General features: G+C 43.4%; 1 protein-coding gene across 1 annotated transcript in view, besides 1 other annotated feature; it reads right to left on the reverse strand.

Annotated features, from left to right (window-relative positions):
* Positions 1-12,629, reverse strand: part of RTN4 (reticulon 4) — a 165,643-nt gene that overhangs the window by 133,304 nt on the left and 19,710 nt on the right. The gene's annotated exons all lie outside the window — the stretch shown is intronic.
* Positions 10,581-10,875: an enhancer, noted in NCBI's record as "tiled region #4359; HepG2 Activating non-DNase unmatched - State 21:Repr, and K562 Activating DNase matched - State 5:Enh". NCBI's record gives its function as "activates a minimal TATA promoter and a strong SV40 promoter by Sharpr-MPRA in HepG2 and K562 cells {active_cell/tissue: HepG2 | K562}" and the evidence as "EXISTENCE:reporter gene assay evidence [ECO:0000049][PMID:27701403]".

Below are 12,629 nucleotides of genomic sequence, written 5' to 3' on the forward strand. Positions count from 1 at the left end.
GTTGTGGGATTACAGGCATGAGCCACCATGCTGGCTGAGATTGTTTTTCTAATTTATTTTACGCAAGCTCTGTATATTGTTACTGACCCTTTATCTATTATTAAGTAATAAATATTTCCCCATTCTCCCTTGCTGTTTTATTTTGTGGAGTGTGTTTATGATAGGTAATCTTATTGTAGTCAAAAGCAATCTTTTCTGCTGAGTGTGGTGGCTCATGCCTAATCCCAGAACTTTGGGAGGGGAAGGAAGCAGGAGAAACACTTGTGACCAGGGATACAAGACCAACCTGGGCAACATAGAGAGACACCCCGCCCCAGACTCCACAAAAAATTTAAAAGTTAGCCAAGTACAGTGGCACATGTCTGTAGTCCTAACTACTCTGGAGGCTGAGGCCAGAGGATCGCTTGCACCCAGGAGTTCGAGGCTACAGTGAGCTATTATCATGCCACTGCAAGCCAGCCTGGGTGACAGGAGGAGACCCCCATCTCTAAAATAAATTTTTTAAGCAATCTTTTATTTTGTATCTTATTTCTTTTCTCTTATGCTTAAAATATACTTCACCTTTTCAAAAGCACATATTCAATTATATGTTCTACTATTTGGGGGGTTGTACTTTTTAATATCATACTGTTGAGATTTGGTATTCGGTTTGTTATATAAGCTAGAGATCCAAAGCCATAATTTTCTAAATAGCTCACCTATTTTCCTGTGTTCAAATCCTTCCTCATCTGTAGTCCCAGCTCAGACGCACATATTCCACTTGGGTGACAGCTCACCCTACCCTGAATTTCTTGCCCTCCTCCTCTTCTTCCTCCCCCATAGCTTTTCCTTCTTTCTCATAATATAATCATCTGTGCATATATCTTCTATTGCATCACACTGTACACTCCTTGAGAGCTGGGACTGAGTTTGTTATCTTTGTGTCTCCCAAAGCCCTCATCCAGGGCCTCACACAGTTGTGAGAGGAAAGGATAAGTGATAATGACAAATTTCTAGATACATTTTGTTGCAAGTTTCATGTAATATTTATTAAACTTTTTTTTTTAAATGGAGTTTTGCTGTTGTTGCCCAGGCTGGAGTGCAGTGGCGTGATCTCGGCTCACTGCAACCTCTGCTTCCTGGGTTCAAGTGATTCTCCTGCCTCAGCCTCCTGAGTAGCTGGGATTACAGGCGTGCACCACCATGCCCGGCTAATTTTTGTATTTTTAGTAGAGATGGGGTTTCACCATGTTGGCTAGGCTGGTCTCGAACACCTGACCCCAGGTGATCCACCGGCCTAGGCCTCCCAAAGTGTTGGGATTACAGGCGTGAGCCACCATGCCCCGTCTTATTGAACATTTTAACAAATATTTATTTTTGTAAGCCTAAAAGTGATTCTTTGAATGTTTAAAGAAAGTGAACCAAAAGACAGTACACAAACACTAGCACCTGAATGCTGAATATCACCGTAAGTGTAAAATCATATATTTTAGAGTAGTGTGAGCTTTTAATGTTAAGTCATATTAAACTCTTAAATTAAGCAGACCCAGCATTGGCAGTGTAGCTGTAACTTTCTGATGTTAATAAAAACAAAATTGGTGACTCAAAATTAAATCATGCCAAGGTTTTGATACATTTGTCTTAAGATATTAATGAAACACTTCAAAACACTGATATGAAGTGCCCAGATTCTCAGATGTTTGTTGAGTGAGTTTTGTTTAGTTGCGTGTATTTTTTTTTTTCAGTGAATGTCTGGCACATTGCAATAATCAAACATGTGCTTATTTTTCTTGTATTGGCATAATCAGTGACTTGTACATTCAGTGATAGCATTTAAGCAAGTTTTATCAGCAAGCAATATTTTCAGTTCATAAATAAGTTTTAAAAAATCTTGTAAGGATTTAAATTTGCTGAATGTAAAGACTGAACCTCAAAAAAAAAAAAAAAAAAAAGGAAAGAAAGAAAGGGTGAGTGATGGCTACTCTAGGCCCTACTTTCTTGCCCTTGCTCATTCTCACAGGGGAAGGCAGAACAAACCTCACAGCCAGTATGAGACTGCCTGGCTGGTACATCTGGGGGGGTTTTGTGGTGGCTAGGAATCCAAAGAAGCTCTTATTTGAACAACAAGGCTGGTATTTATAGAATAAGTTCAGGCACTTCAGGCTAAGCAGACACAAAAGTGAGCAGAGATGGTAGTCAGGCTCTGGGTAGATAAAGGGTGCCCTGGGCATCCAGAGGCCCAGTATCTATGAACATCAGGAATGTCTGTGCCACTCCCCAGACAAACAGAGATCCCAACTCAGGATTTCTCACCCTTGGTCAACTATAATTACAAAAACAGAGATTGTGAATAGTTCTGCATGACTCTGGAAAGCCTGTATGTGGTATAGATAAATATACACTAGATTCTGTACAACCTCATCATGCCTTTAGCTACATAGAGACTGGACTTTAAAACACACGTTTCCCATCCTGTTAAATTCGGTCCTTTTTTTTTTTGAGATGGAGTCTTGCTCTGTATATAGCCCAGGCTGGAGTGCAGTGGCACATCTCAGCTCACTGCAACCTCTGCCTCCTGGGTTCAAGTGATTCTCCTGCCTCAGCCTCTCAACTAGCTGGGATTACAGGCGATGCCACAATTCCCAGCTAATTTTTGTGTTTTTAGTAGACATGGGGTTTTCCCATGTTGGCCAGGCTGGTCTCGAACCCCTGACTTCAGGTGATCCACCTGCCTCGGCCTCCCAAAGTGCTGTGATTACAGGCGTGAGCCAACCCACCCAGCCCAGTTCTTTATGTATATAGATATATGGACAGCTATAGGGAAATGTGATTAAGCATTTTTTTAAAAATTGCCCATTTCAGTAGTAATCCCCAAATTCTAAGCTAGAGAGCATTTAGTTACTTGAGTGCTCATCTCTTGCCAGGCAGGAGAGGGAGAAGGGTGAAGGGGCTCCAGCATCGGGGATGGGCCTGGAATTCCACTCAGGGTGAATGATAATATTGAGAACTGAGGGTTTAGTAGGTTCAGAATCCCTTGCTAGCCATACTGAATAGGGTTTGTTTTTCTTACAGAATTTTGAGAAGAACCAGTAAGAGCAGCTCTAGTGGAGGGATGGGGGAAGAGGGGTAATAAAAGCAGATTACACTGGATTTGGAAATAAGAAGCCACAGGGCCATGCCCCTATCCTTACCCACCTCTCCTCTCTTATTACTTTGATTCCCATAAAGAAATAAATATTTAGGTTGGCACAAAAGTAATTGCGGTTTTTGCCTTTACTTTTAATTAAAAACATTAATGGCAAAAACCGCAATTACTTTTGCACCAGCCTAATCATAGGCCAATTTCTATGACTAAAATCCCAAAAAATAGTAAGACTAAGAATCTACAGGAGCTCTTCACAGCCATATTCCTCACAGAATAATTCCAGGAGCTCTGTGCTAAACACATCCCTAAGGAAACTCTGTGCAAAGAGAAGATCAAGGCCAGCAGCTTTTTCAGGTCTGCAGCGTTTCCAAGTGACAGCAGGCTCAGCTGGACACGTCTCCAAGTACAATTTCTAAATTATGAGAAGTGGGATTGTTTTAAATCGATACATCGAACCTTTAAACACACACACTTTTGAAACGTTTCAGCCACAGCTGTTAAAAGATTGATAAATTTTAAGTTCCTGAAATACTGAAATGAAAAAAACAGTTATATATTAGAAGAGTGCTAAATTCCTTTAAAAATAAAAATGCACTAAAGGTTTAAGAGCACAGCCATAATTTTTAGAACCCAGCAAGTGGATGCCTGCATGGGACAAAGTCACTGAACAGCCTGAGCCCTTCAATAATTAATAGATGCAAAGTTAAAGAAATGTCAATGCTGATAATAAATTGCTCAGGGTGACTCAAATGCAGCTGCTTCTCTGCTGATCACTTCTGGTATTAACTGTGCTTACAAAAGCAAATACCTCATACTCCTTCCACTCTATAGAAAAACCAACAGGTACAGTATCACGTAGCTAGGTAGGCCTTGAATAGAAAAAAGGGTAACTCAGCTTTGACAAGGACATTTATCTCTGGAATTTCTGTCCTCTGAAAATATTTGTTACTGATACTCACTTGCTATGCCCCAATTCCCTGATTCTGCTAAAACACCTTTTAGAAAAGGAAGCACTGGAGCAGGGTGTTTACTTTGTTGATGCTCTGGAGCAAGGGGGTGTTACTGTATATGTTCCATGTTAGGGGTTTGTCCAAGAAAAAGGAGCAGATGGCTAGTGACTCAGAGCATATGTTGACCCGAGTGCCCTTTGGCAAACAGGAGCTCCAGGCAGAGAGTAAATATGCCCTAAATATTTGAAAAAGGGAATCACTCAGCCAAGAAAAGAGGAGTCTGAGGGAGCACCCTAAAACAATCTTAGCCTTGTAGAGGGATATTATTTATTCCCTGGGGAGAAAACTGTTTCTCTCTTCCAAAAAAGAGTGGACATTGAATTTATATTCAGAAGTGGTAAGAAAAATAAGGGAAGGATGATAAATAGTGAAAGGAACAAAAGAAATTCTGGAATCTCAGGGCTGGGCGTGGTGGTTCACACCTATAATCCCAGCATTGTGGGAAGTCGAGACTGGTGGATAGCTTGAGCCCAGGAGTTCGAGACCAGCCTGGGCAACATGGTGAAACCCCATCTCTACCCAAAAAATACAAAAATTAGCCAGGTATGGTGGCCTATGTCTGTAGTCCCAGCTACGTGTGAGGCTGAGGTGGGAGGATTGCTTGAGCCTGGGAGGCAGAGGTTGCAGTGAGCCGAGTTTCTGCCACTGCATTCCAGCCTAGGTGACAGAGGGAGACCCTGTCTCAAAAAAAAAAAAAAAAAAAAATTCTGGAATCTCGTGCCTCTCATCAATAGAAAGCAGCTGTAAAAGAAGCAGAGGCATAGCCCAAATGGCCCCTGAGTACCCCTTCTCACCTTCCATTTCCTTAGAATGGTAGATATTTGCCCAAGGTTACAATAATATCAAAACAAACAGAACAATCAGGAATACCCTATGACATATCACAGCCAATAAAGGCTCAAAAAATTCTTGCTGATGAAGAAAACAAATGTTCCCAAACAGCATTTCCTGGTTACTTATCAATAATGCAGACCAATGTCAATCTATCTGAGGGCGCATATACGTCCATTTGGATCCTTTAAAAAAAACTGTCTCATTCTTTAAATAAATGTCAAGGGTGTTTACTCCAGAAATAAAATAGAAAGCCAACCTCAAATCAGGAAAAATACAGATTAAAAATATATCTACGCCAGGCCAGGCACGGTAGCTCATGCCTATAATCCCAGCACTTTGGGAGGCCAAGGCAGGCAGGTCGCCTGAGATCGGGAGTTCAAGACCAGCCTGGTCAACATGGCAAAACCCTGTCTCTACTAAAAATACAAAAATTAGCTGGGCGTGGTGGCACATGCCTGTAATCCCAGCTACTTGGGAAGCTGAGGCAGGAGAATTGCTTGAACCCAGGAGGTGGAGGTTGCAGTGAGCCGAGATCGTACCACGGTACTCCAGCCGGGGCAACTGAGTAAGACTGTGTCTCAAAATAACAATAATAATAATAATAATGTATCTCCGCATGGGGGATAAGGTCTGAAAAAAAGAAAAGAATAAAAACAAAATAAAAACAAATTGTCTTTATTTTTACTTGCTTGCTTGCTAACCTTGGGAAATTTGCTAGCTGCAAAGTTGCTTTTTATTTTCCAATAATTCTTGAGGGATCACTGGAATACTTGCATGAAAAAAAAAAATTCACTTTAACCTCACTCTTCCGAGATTTTAAAAACAGAGCAAGCACAGAGATAACAAAGAAACCTTTTTCAGAGGCACCCTCAAATCTTAGGCCCAAATAGATGGTGGTATCAACAGAAACAACGAAATATCCATAGCAACTGTGGAAAGCAGATTCTCATCCCATAGTGAGATAATAAATAAAGTCACTGCCTTTTGTGACACCTTACTCAACCTCAGACAGAAATAAATGTTCCTCACTCCTGTTCGCATAAATCCACCTAGCTAGTGTTTGTGGGAGCAGAGGGAGGATTGTTCCCCAATCCAGGCCCACGAAAGTGGCTTTGCCTTCCACAGCACCTCCCACCCTCTGCTGGGAGTCACAGACCTCTCCTAAGGACCCACTCAGGAGGGTGTTTGGGGCTGTTTAGGAGGAGGGGTCTCCACTGGCTAGTTTGGAGGAAATTCAACGAAATCGAAGCCCAACTGTAGGGGCCATGTACAGAGTAAGTGTTGAAAAAACGTTAATGTCCACCCTTCCTTTATCCAGACACATTGAACAGATATTCACTGAAATGTCCTTAAAAAATCTACCTCACCCCATGTCTATCCATCTTCCCGAATGCTGCCTGCCTCCTGCCTTGTGACCAGCTCTGCCGGCAGACCCTGCAGTATGACTCAGCGTGTTGAAATCCGCCTCTGTGGGCACGCACTGCTCTCAAAACTGCTTCAACCACCAGAAGCAGTTAATTGCAATGAGTCTCTGGGGATCCTGCTCCAATGGCGACACTCAAGAGGAAGCAACCACCTAGGCAATACCTTCCTATTAAATGCTACCAAACTCCAGAAAGAGCGTGCCTTGGCTTTGTGAGGAGCTCAGAGGCTCTGAGAGGCCCCCTGTGGGGGAGCGTGTTCAGGACTATATGAGGCCTACCTTCCCAGCTCACCTGCACTGGGCTGAGATGATGGTGGTGACAATGACAAATAATACTAAGAAGAAAGGTACCACTGACTGAACACTTATCATTTGCTAAGCACTTGGCATATGTTGCCTCATCTACCCCCGGACAGCAACCCCGTAAAATCCTCATTTTACAGGTGAGGAAACCAGAGGTCACAGAGCCAAAGTCAAGTGGTGATTAAGCAAGGCTTGAGCCCAGACTGTGGGGTTAGGGGTCTAGGCTCCCAACCACGTCAACACTACTGGCTTTAGAGCAGCTGCACTTTCCACACTAGTATTGTTCTAAATCTAAGCACGGCCAGAGGAAAGAATAGGAAGCTCCACACTGACCTCTAAGCTTTTTATAGAGAAGCATCTCCCCAGACACAGCCCCTCCAGCGAGCCTGGAGCCGGGCTGCCTCAGCTGTGTCTGCAGCAGTCCTCAGAGGCCCTGCTGGAACCTGACCCTGAAGCTCCCAGCATCCACGCTGCCGCTGGCTCCCAGCCCCGCCTTGCGGCTCGAGCATAGCCATGAACAGCTCTGATGAATTATCTACCAGAGGAGAACTCCAATTGTATCATCAAAAGAGAGTTGGGGATTATCTGTTATTTTCATTGTCCTTGCCACTTCAGCCGCTATTTATTCAGAGCTGCTCATGGCTCTGGCTTCCTTGTTTTATTTCTTCTGCCAACCCCCAGCTGGAGTTTCTGGAGCAACCAAATAGCTAAAAACAAAAAGAGGAAGCAGCAACAGTCTGACATTTACAAAGATGGAAAAATTGCTCTCTAGACACATGACAACAAACTGTAGAAAGAAAAATTGTGGCAAGATCAACGTGAGCAACTGGGAGCTCAGTGGATGGTCCATAGATAGAAGGCCCTGGCCACACTGTGATTCCAGGGCCCCAAAAACCACCAGCACTGGTGTGAGAAGGAGGAAGACCGTGACCTGACATTAAGAGAAAGGCTATGTCCTGTGCTGTTGCTAGAAAAATAAAAAGGCCACCACCAAAAGAAGCCCTCTCCTTTCTTCTGCGAGGAGGGTAAGCAGTGCAGTCCAAGGCTTCCTGGGGTGGGAAAAGGTGTATTCTCTTCTTTATGTGTGGAAGCCTTGCTTACCTGTAGAAGAGGATCCCTCAGGACTTCAGAACTGTGGTTTCTACAGACTGGGGCATGTTCAGGTCAATGTGGAACTGAATTCAAGCCTTATCAATACTCACAAACAACAGAGGAGGATCTCAGGTGAGACTATGACTACCTCCCACTCATTTAGCATCCCTGGCTACTCTGTCCTCTTTTGGAAAGCTTCTGTCTGTCTCTCTGAAGTGGGTAAAAGAGACAAGGGTGGTGGTGGTAGTTGCTCTGGGGGAGAAGTTGCTGCAGTAGCCCTTGTTTCAATTGAACAATATTATGGATTTCCGTCCAGCAAGTGACCTCTCACTCCGGACCTGTAGGGTCCATGCAGTCCAGTGTAAGTAAATTGGCTCTATCAGCCTGGTTTCACAACCCACATCATCCCAACTCTACCCTACCCAAGAGTTGCTAGAAGCACCTATTACTCCTGTAGAAGGTGAGGGAGAGGTGACCCCCAGTCCAAAGTGACTGGAGACCATGACTGACTGACCAGCCCAGAATCAGAAGGCTAAGGAACCACCTGTCTAATAGTCTGGTGCCAAACACAGGCCCTTCACTGCTCTTGGGAATGTTCTCGGCCATCCCTTCCTGGCCAAAAACAGAATATCAACTGCTTCTGAACCTGGGTCCTAGGCAACTAAACTGGGCTGTGAAAGAAACATCTATGCTGAGCCTATTGCTCCCTGAAATGGCCTCACAAATTTGCTTTGGAAACCATGAATTTTTCAAAACTTGATTTTCTTTGTACTTGTTGAAAGTTTTGTTTTCATCTTAAAATGCTAAATATACAATTTATCGGAAAATATAGCTAGATTTATATTTTTCCAGTCAGCAGTTTGGAATCGTCTGTCTTTACATTAGTCTATAATAAGACAGGCACACTTAGAATATTTTATGATGTCACTTTTTCATTCTGGGACTTGGTGCACCATTTGCACCAAGTGTTGGTTTGTTCCACCTCTCTCTTTTGTGAATTAGTCTGCAGCTCCACTTTGCAGTTTGAAATGTGAGTCAGCAAAGGAGAAACTCACTTCTCTATGAAGGGGATGGAGCTGGAAAGGAACAAGGAGGCTCCAAAGTCCAGGTCATGTTTGATGTCTCCTGATTAACTCCAGGCCGGGCGTGGTGGCTCACACTTGTAATCCCATCACTTTAGGAGGCCGAGGCAGGTGGATTACTTGAGGTCAGGAGTTCGAGACCAGCCTGGCTGACATGGTGAAACCCCGTCGCTACTAAAAATACAAAAATTAGATGAGCGTGGTGACGCACGCCTGTAATCCCAGCTACTTGGGAGGCTGAGGCAGGAGAATTGCTTGAACCCAGGAGGTGGAGGTTGCAGTGAGCCAAGATTGCGGCACTGCACTCCAGGCTGGGTGATACAGTGAGACTCTGTCTCTAAATAAATAAACAAGTAAATAAGTAACTCCAGAGAACCACAGAAAGTTAGTACACCTGTTCTCCAGACTGCCTTTAAAAAGGCACGTTCCTCCTCTGAAGCTTCCCTGGGTGCAAATGCTCACGGGTGGCAATAGCGTGAAGAATAGCCACCCCCATTCATCTCCCCTTGTCAGTCCCAGGTTCACTAGAGGGTGCATCAGCTTAAAGATGCCTTACGAGATAGAGGTATTTATTAACTGTTACCACCATTGATGCCACACCAGCACATGCATGTGGGCTGACAGGTTTCATGTACTTGGGATACAGAAGCCACAGCTAGGAGAGAATATAAAAACTTCTCCCTTCAGACAATTTGATTTTCCAAATCATATTCTTGGTATATGGGTTAAATTATGCATATTAGCTTTTTGTGGTTTATATAACTAGTTACTACAAATTAGTGGCTTAAAACAACACACATTTATTATCTTATCAGCTCTGTAGGTCAGAAGTCTGACATGAATCTTACTAGGCTAAAATCAAGATGTCAGAAGGTCTGTATTCCTTTCTACAAGCACTAGAGGACAATCTGTTTCTATGCCTTTTCTGGCTTCTAAAAGCTCCCACATTCCTTGACTCCTGGTCCCCTTCCTTCATCTTCAAAGCCAGCAATAGCTGGTTGAGTCTTTCTCACATTACATCACTATGAAACTGACTCTCCTGCTTCTCTCATTCTCTTATAAGAACTTCCGTGATTACACTGGGCCCATCTATATATATAGGTAACAGGGATTAGGATGTGGACATCTATGGAGAGGAGGCACGATTTTGCCCACCACACTGTAGAAGATTTCTAGAAATCTGAGAATAAAGAGATAACATCCTTATCACAAAATCATGAGAAACGAAGGCTGGGGTCCACCCCCGTCTTAAGCTACTAATGCTACTGCCCAAGAAAGCAGTCTGCTCCCAATAGCCCCTCAGTAGTCTATTCCGGGGCACTATGTTTTTGTCATCAATAGAAGAAAAGCATTCTGTCTAGCTCATCCTTTCTGTACATTGCTTCTCCTCTTACCACATATGGGCAGGGAAATCTAGCAACTTGTATATCTGGCTCAAAGTTAAAGTCACCAGTGTGCTGCTATGAAACTACTACCTCCTCCCCACAGTTCCTTTATGCCATCCTCTTATGACCATTTTTTAACCCTTGAAACATTTTGATGACTCAGTGCTGCAGAATCCCAGCTCAGTGTGATTCAAGGCTTCAGGGTAAGCTAGTAAGCTAGTGCTTTGTAAAGTGACAGCAAAGACCCTCTGGGTGCATTCAACATGGCTACTGTTGTGGCCATTAGCTTCCATTGTGAGAGACAACCCCAAAAGAGGATCATATAACAAGGAGATGGGGACTAGTCTTTTTTTTTTTTTTTTTTTTTGAGATTGGGTCTCACTTTGTTGCCCAGGCTGGTCTCAAACTCCTGGCCTCAAGCTATCCTCCCGCCTGGCCTCCCAAAGTGCTAGGATTATAGGCATGAGTCACTGCCGGGGCCTCATTTCTAATTGTTTCATCAGGCTGATCCTGGACCAGCAGCTGATAAGACTCTGGCTGTGCTAGAAGCCATGTAAGAGGTTTGAAACAGATAATGGGAGAAACATATCAAGAATATCAGAGCCTTGACTTCAAATGATGATAAAAATAGATATACAACACAGTGGTTAAGAGTGTTAAAATGCCTCCACACCACATATTAGCCATGGGATCCTGGGTAAGTTTCTTAACCTCTCTGAGCCTCAGTTTCCTCGTCTGAAATTCAGGATAACAATAGAATCAATTATATAGGATTCCAGTAGCTGATACATTGGAAGCATTCACTGTTAGCTAGAATTATTAGGCAGATGCTAAGCACTTTACGAGCATTTCTTAATTAATCATCAAAATAGCCCCATGAGGTATGTACTATTATTATAATCTCCATTCTAAGATGAGGATGAACTTATAGTCACACAGCTAATGAGTGGCAGAGGCAGGACCAGAATTCAGGTTGGTCTGACTTAAAAGACCATGCCCTTAACCTCTGTGGGGAGCAAGATTCTAGGGGAAAAGACTGGTCAATAACTGCAACTTAGATGTCTCATCTCTTCGACACTTCCCAGAACTCTCCTTTATGCATAGCTGTTTCTTTTTCTTTCTTTTTTTCCTTTTTTTTTTTTTTTTGAGATGGAGTCTTGCTCTGTCACCCAGGCTGGAGTGCAGTGGTGCAATCTTGGCTGTCTGCAACCTCCACCTCCTGGGTTCAAGCAATTCTCCTGCTGCAGCCTCCCAAGTAGCTGGGGCTACATGTGTTCGCCACCATGCCTGGCTGATTTTTGTATTTTTAGCAGAGATGGGGTTTCATCATGTTGATCAGGCCAGTCTTGAACTCCTGACCCCAAGTGATCCACCTGCCTTGGCCTCCCAAAGTGCCGGGATTACAGGTGTGAGCCACCGCACCCGGCCAGATAGCTGTTTCTTACGTGATGGATCAGAAAACTTCAATGAAAAAAGCATAAAGACAGACATGTGAGACCTTGAAATAGCCCTGGGTCATCTTGGACCTGATCCAATGTCACACACTGGTTGAATATTGGGTTTCGAGGCTCCTGAAAGCTCATGCCTTCGAGCATTCCCTTCAATGAGCAGCCTCTTCCTGAAGGGCCTCCTAACCATCACCTCAAGCTCATCCTGGAACAGAGAAGACACAGCTAGAGCCCTGGAGCAGCAAGTCCCAATCCTGACTCGGCAGCATCCCAGGGAATAACACCTGGCTCAAGGAGCACAGTGAAATCCTCATTAATCAAATTAATTTTAACTTGCTGTAATTTTAAAGGAGAATCTATGCTTTTCTGAGGGGTTGCTATGGATCTAAACAATGAGAGGGCGTGGCAGCTCTGGAAAGGGCAACAATTGCTGTGTTAAAAGCTTCATGAAATCTCACAGACAAAATATGCAAAAGAAACCAGACACAAAGAAGTATGCACTTCATTATTTCATTTAGATAAAGGTCAAGAATAGGCAAACTACTCTGTGCTATGCAGGGATGCAATCTTTGATGGTAAAAATATAAAAAAAGAAAAAGGCACAGAAGCCAGGAGAGTGATTACCTTTGGGGTAGGGAAGGGAGTTGGAATTCCACTAGGCAAGGGTCTCCTGGGGTGCTGGCAATGTTCCATTTCTTAACATGGGTGGAAATGACATAGGGTTCCTTTTATTACAATTCATTTGGTTTTATAAGATTCCCTTTATATAATGCATCTATGCAGTTTTCTGTGTGTTATATTTCATAATAACAAAGGTTGGTTTGTTTGGGATTTTCTGTTTTGTCTCACTAAGGAAATTTGTAGCAACCCCACCCCTGAGAAGACTGAATTTCTAACAAGCTTCTAAATGTTGCTGATGCTGCCACAC

This window comes from Homo sapiens, chromosome 2, assembly GCF_000001405.40.
Source record: "Homo sapiens chromosome 2, GRCh38.p14 Primary Assembly".
Taxonomy (NCBI): Eukaryota; Metazoa; Chordata; class Mammalia; order Primates; family Hominidae; genus Homo; species Homo sapiens.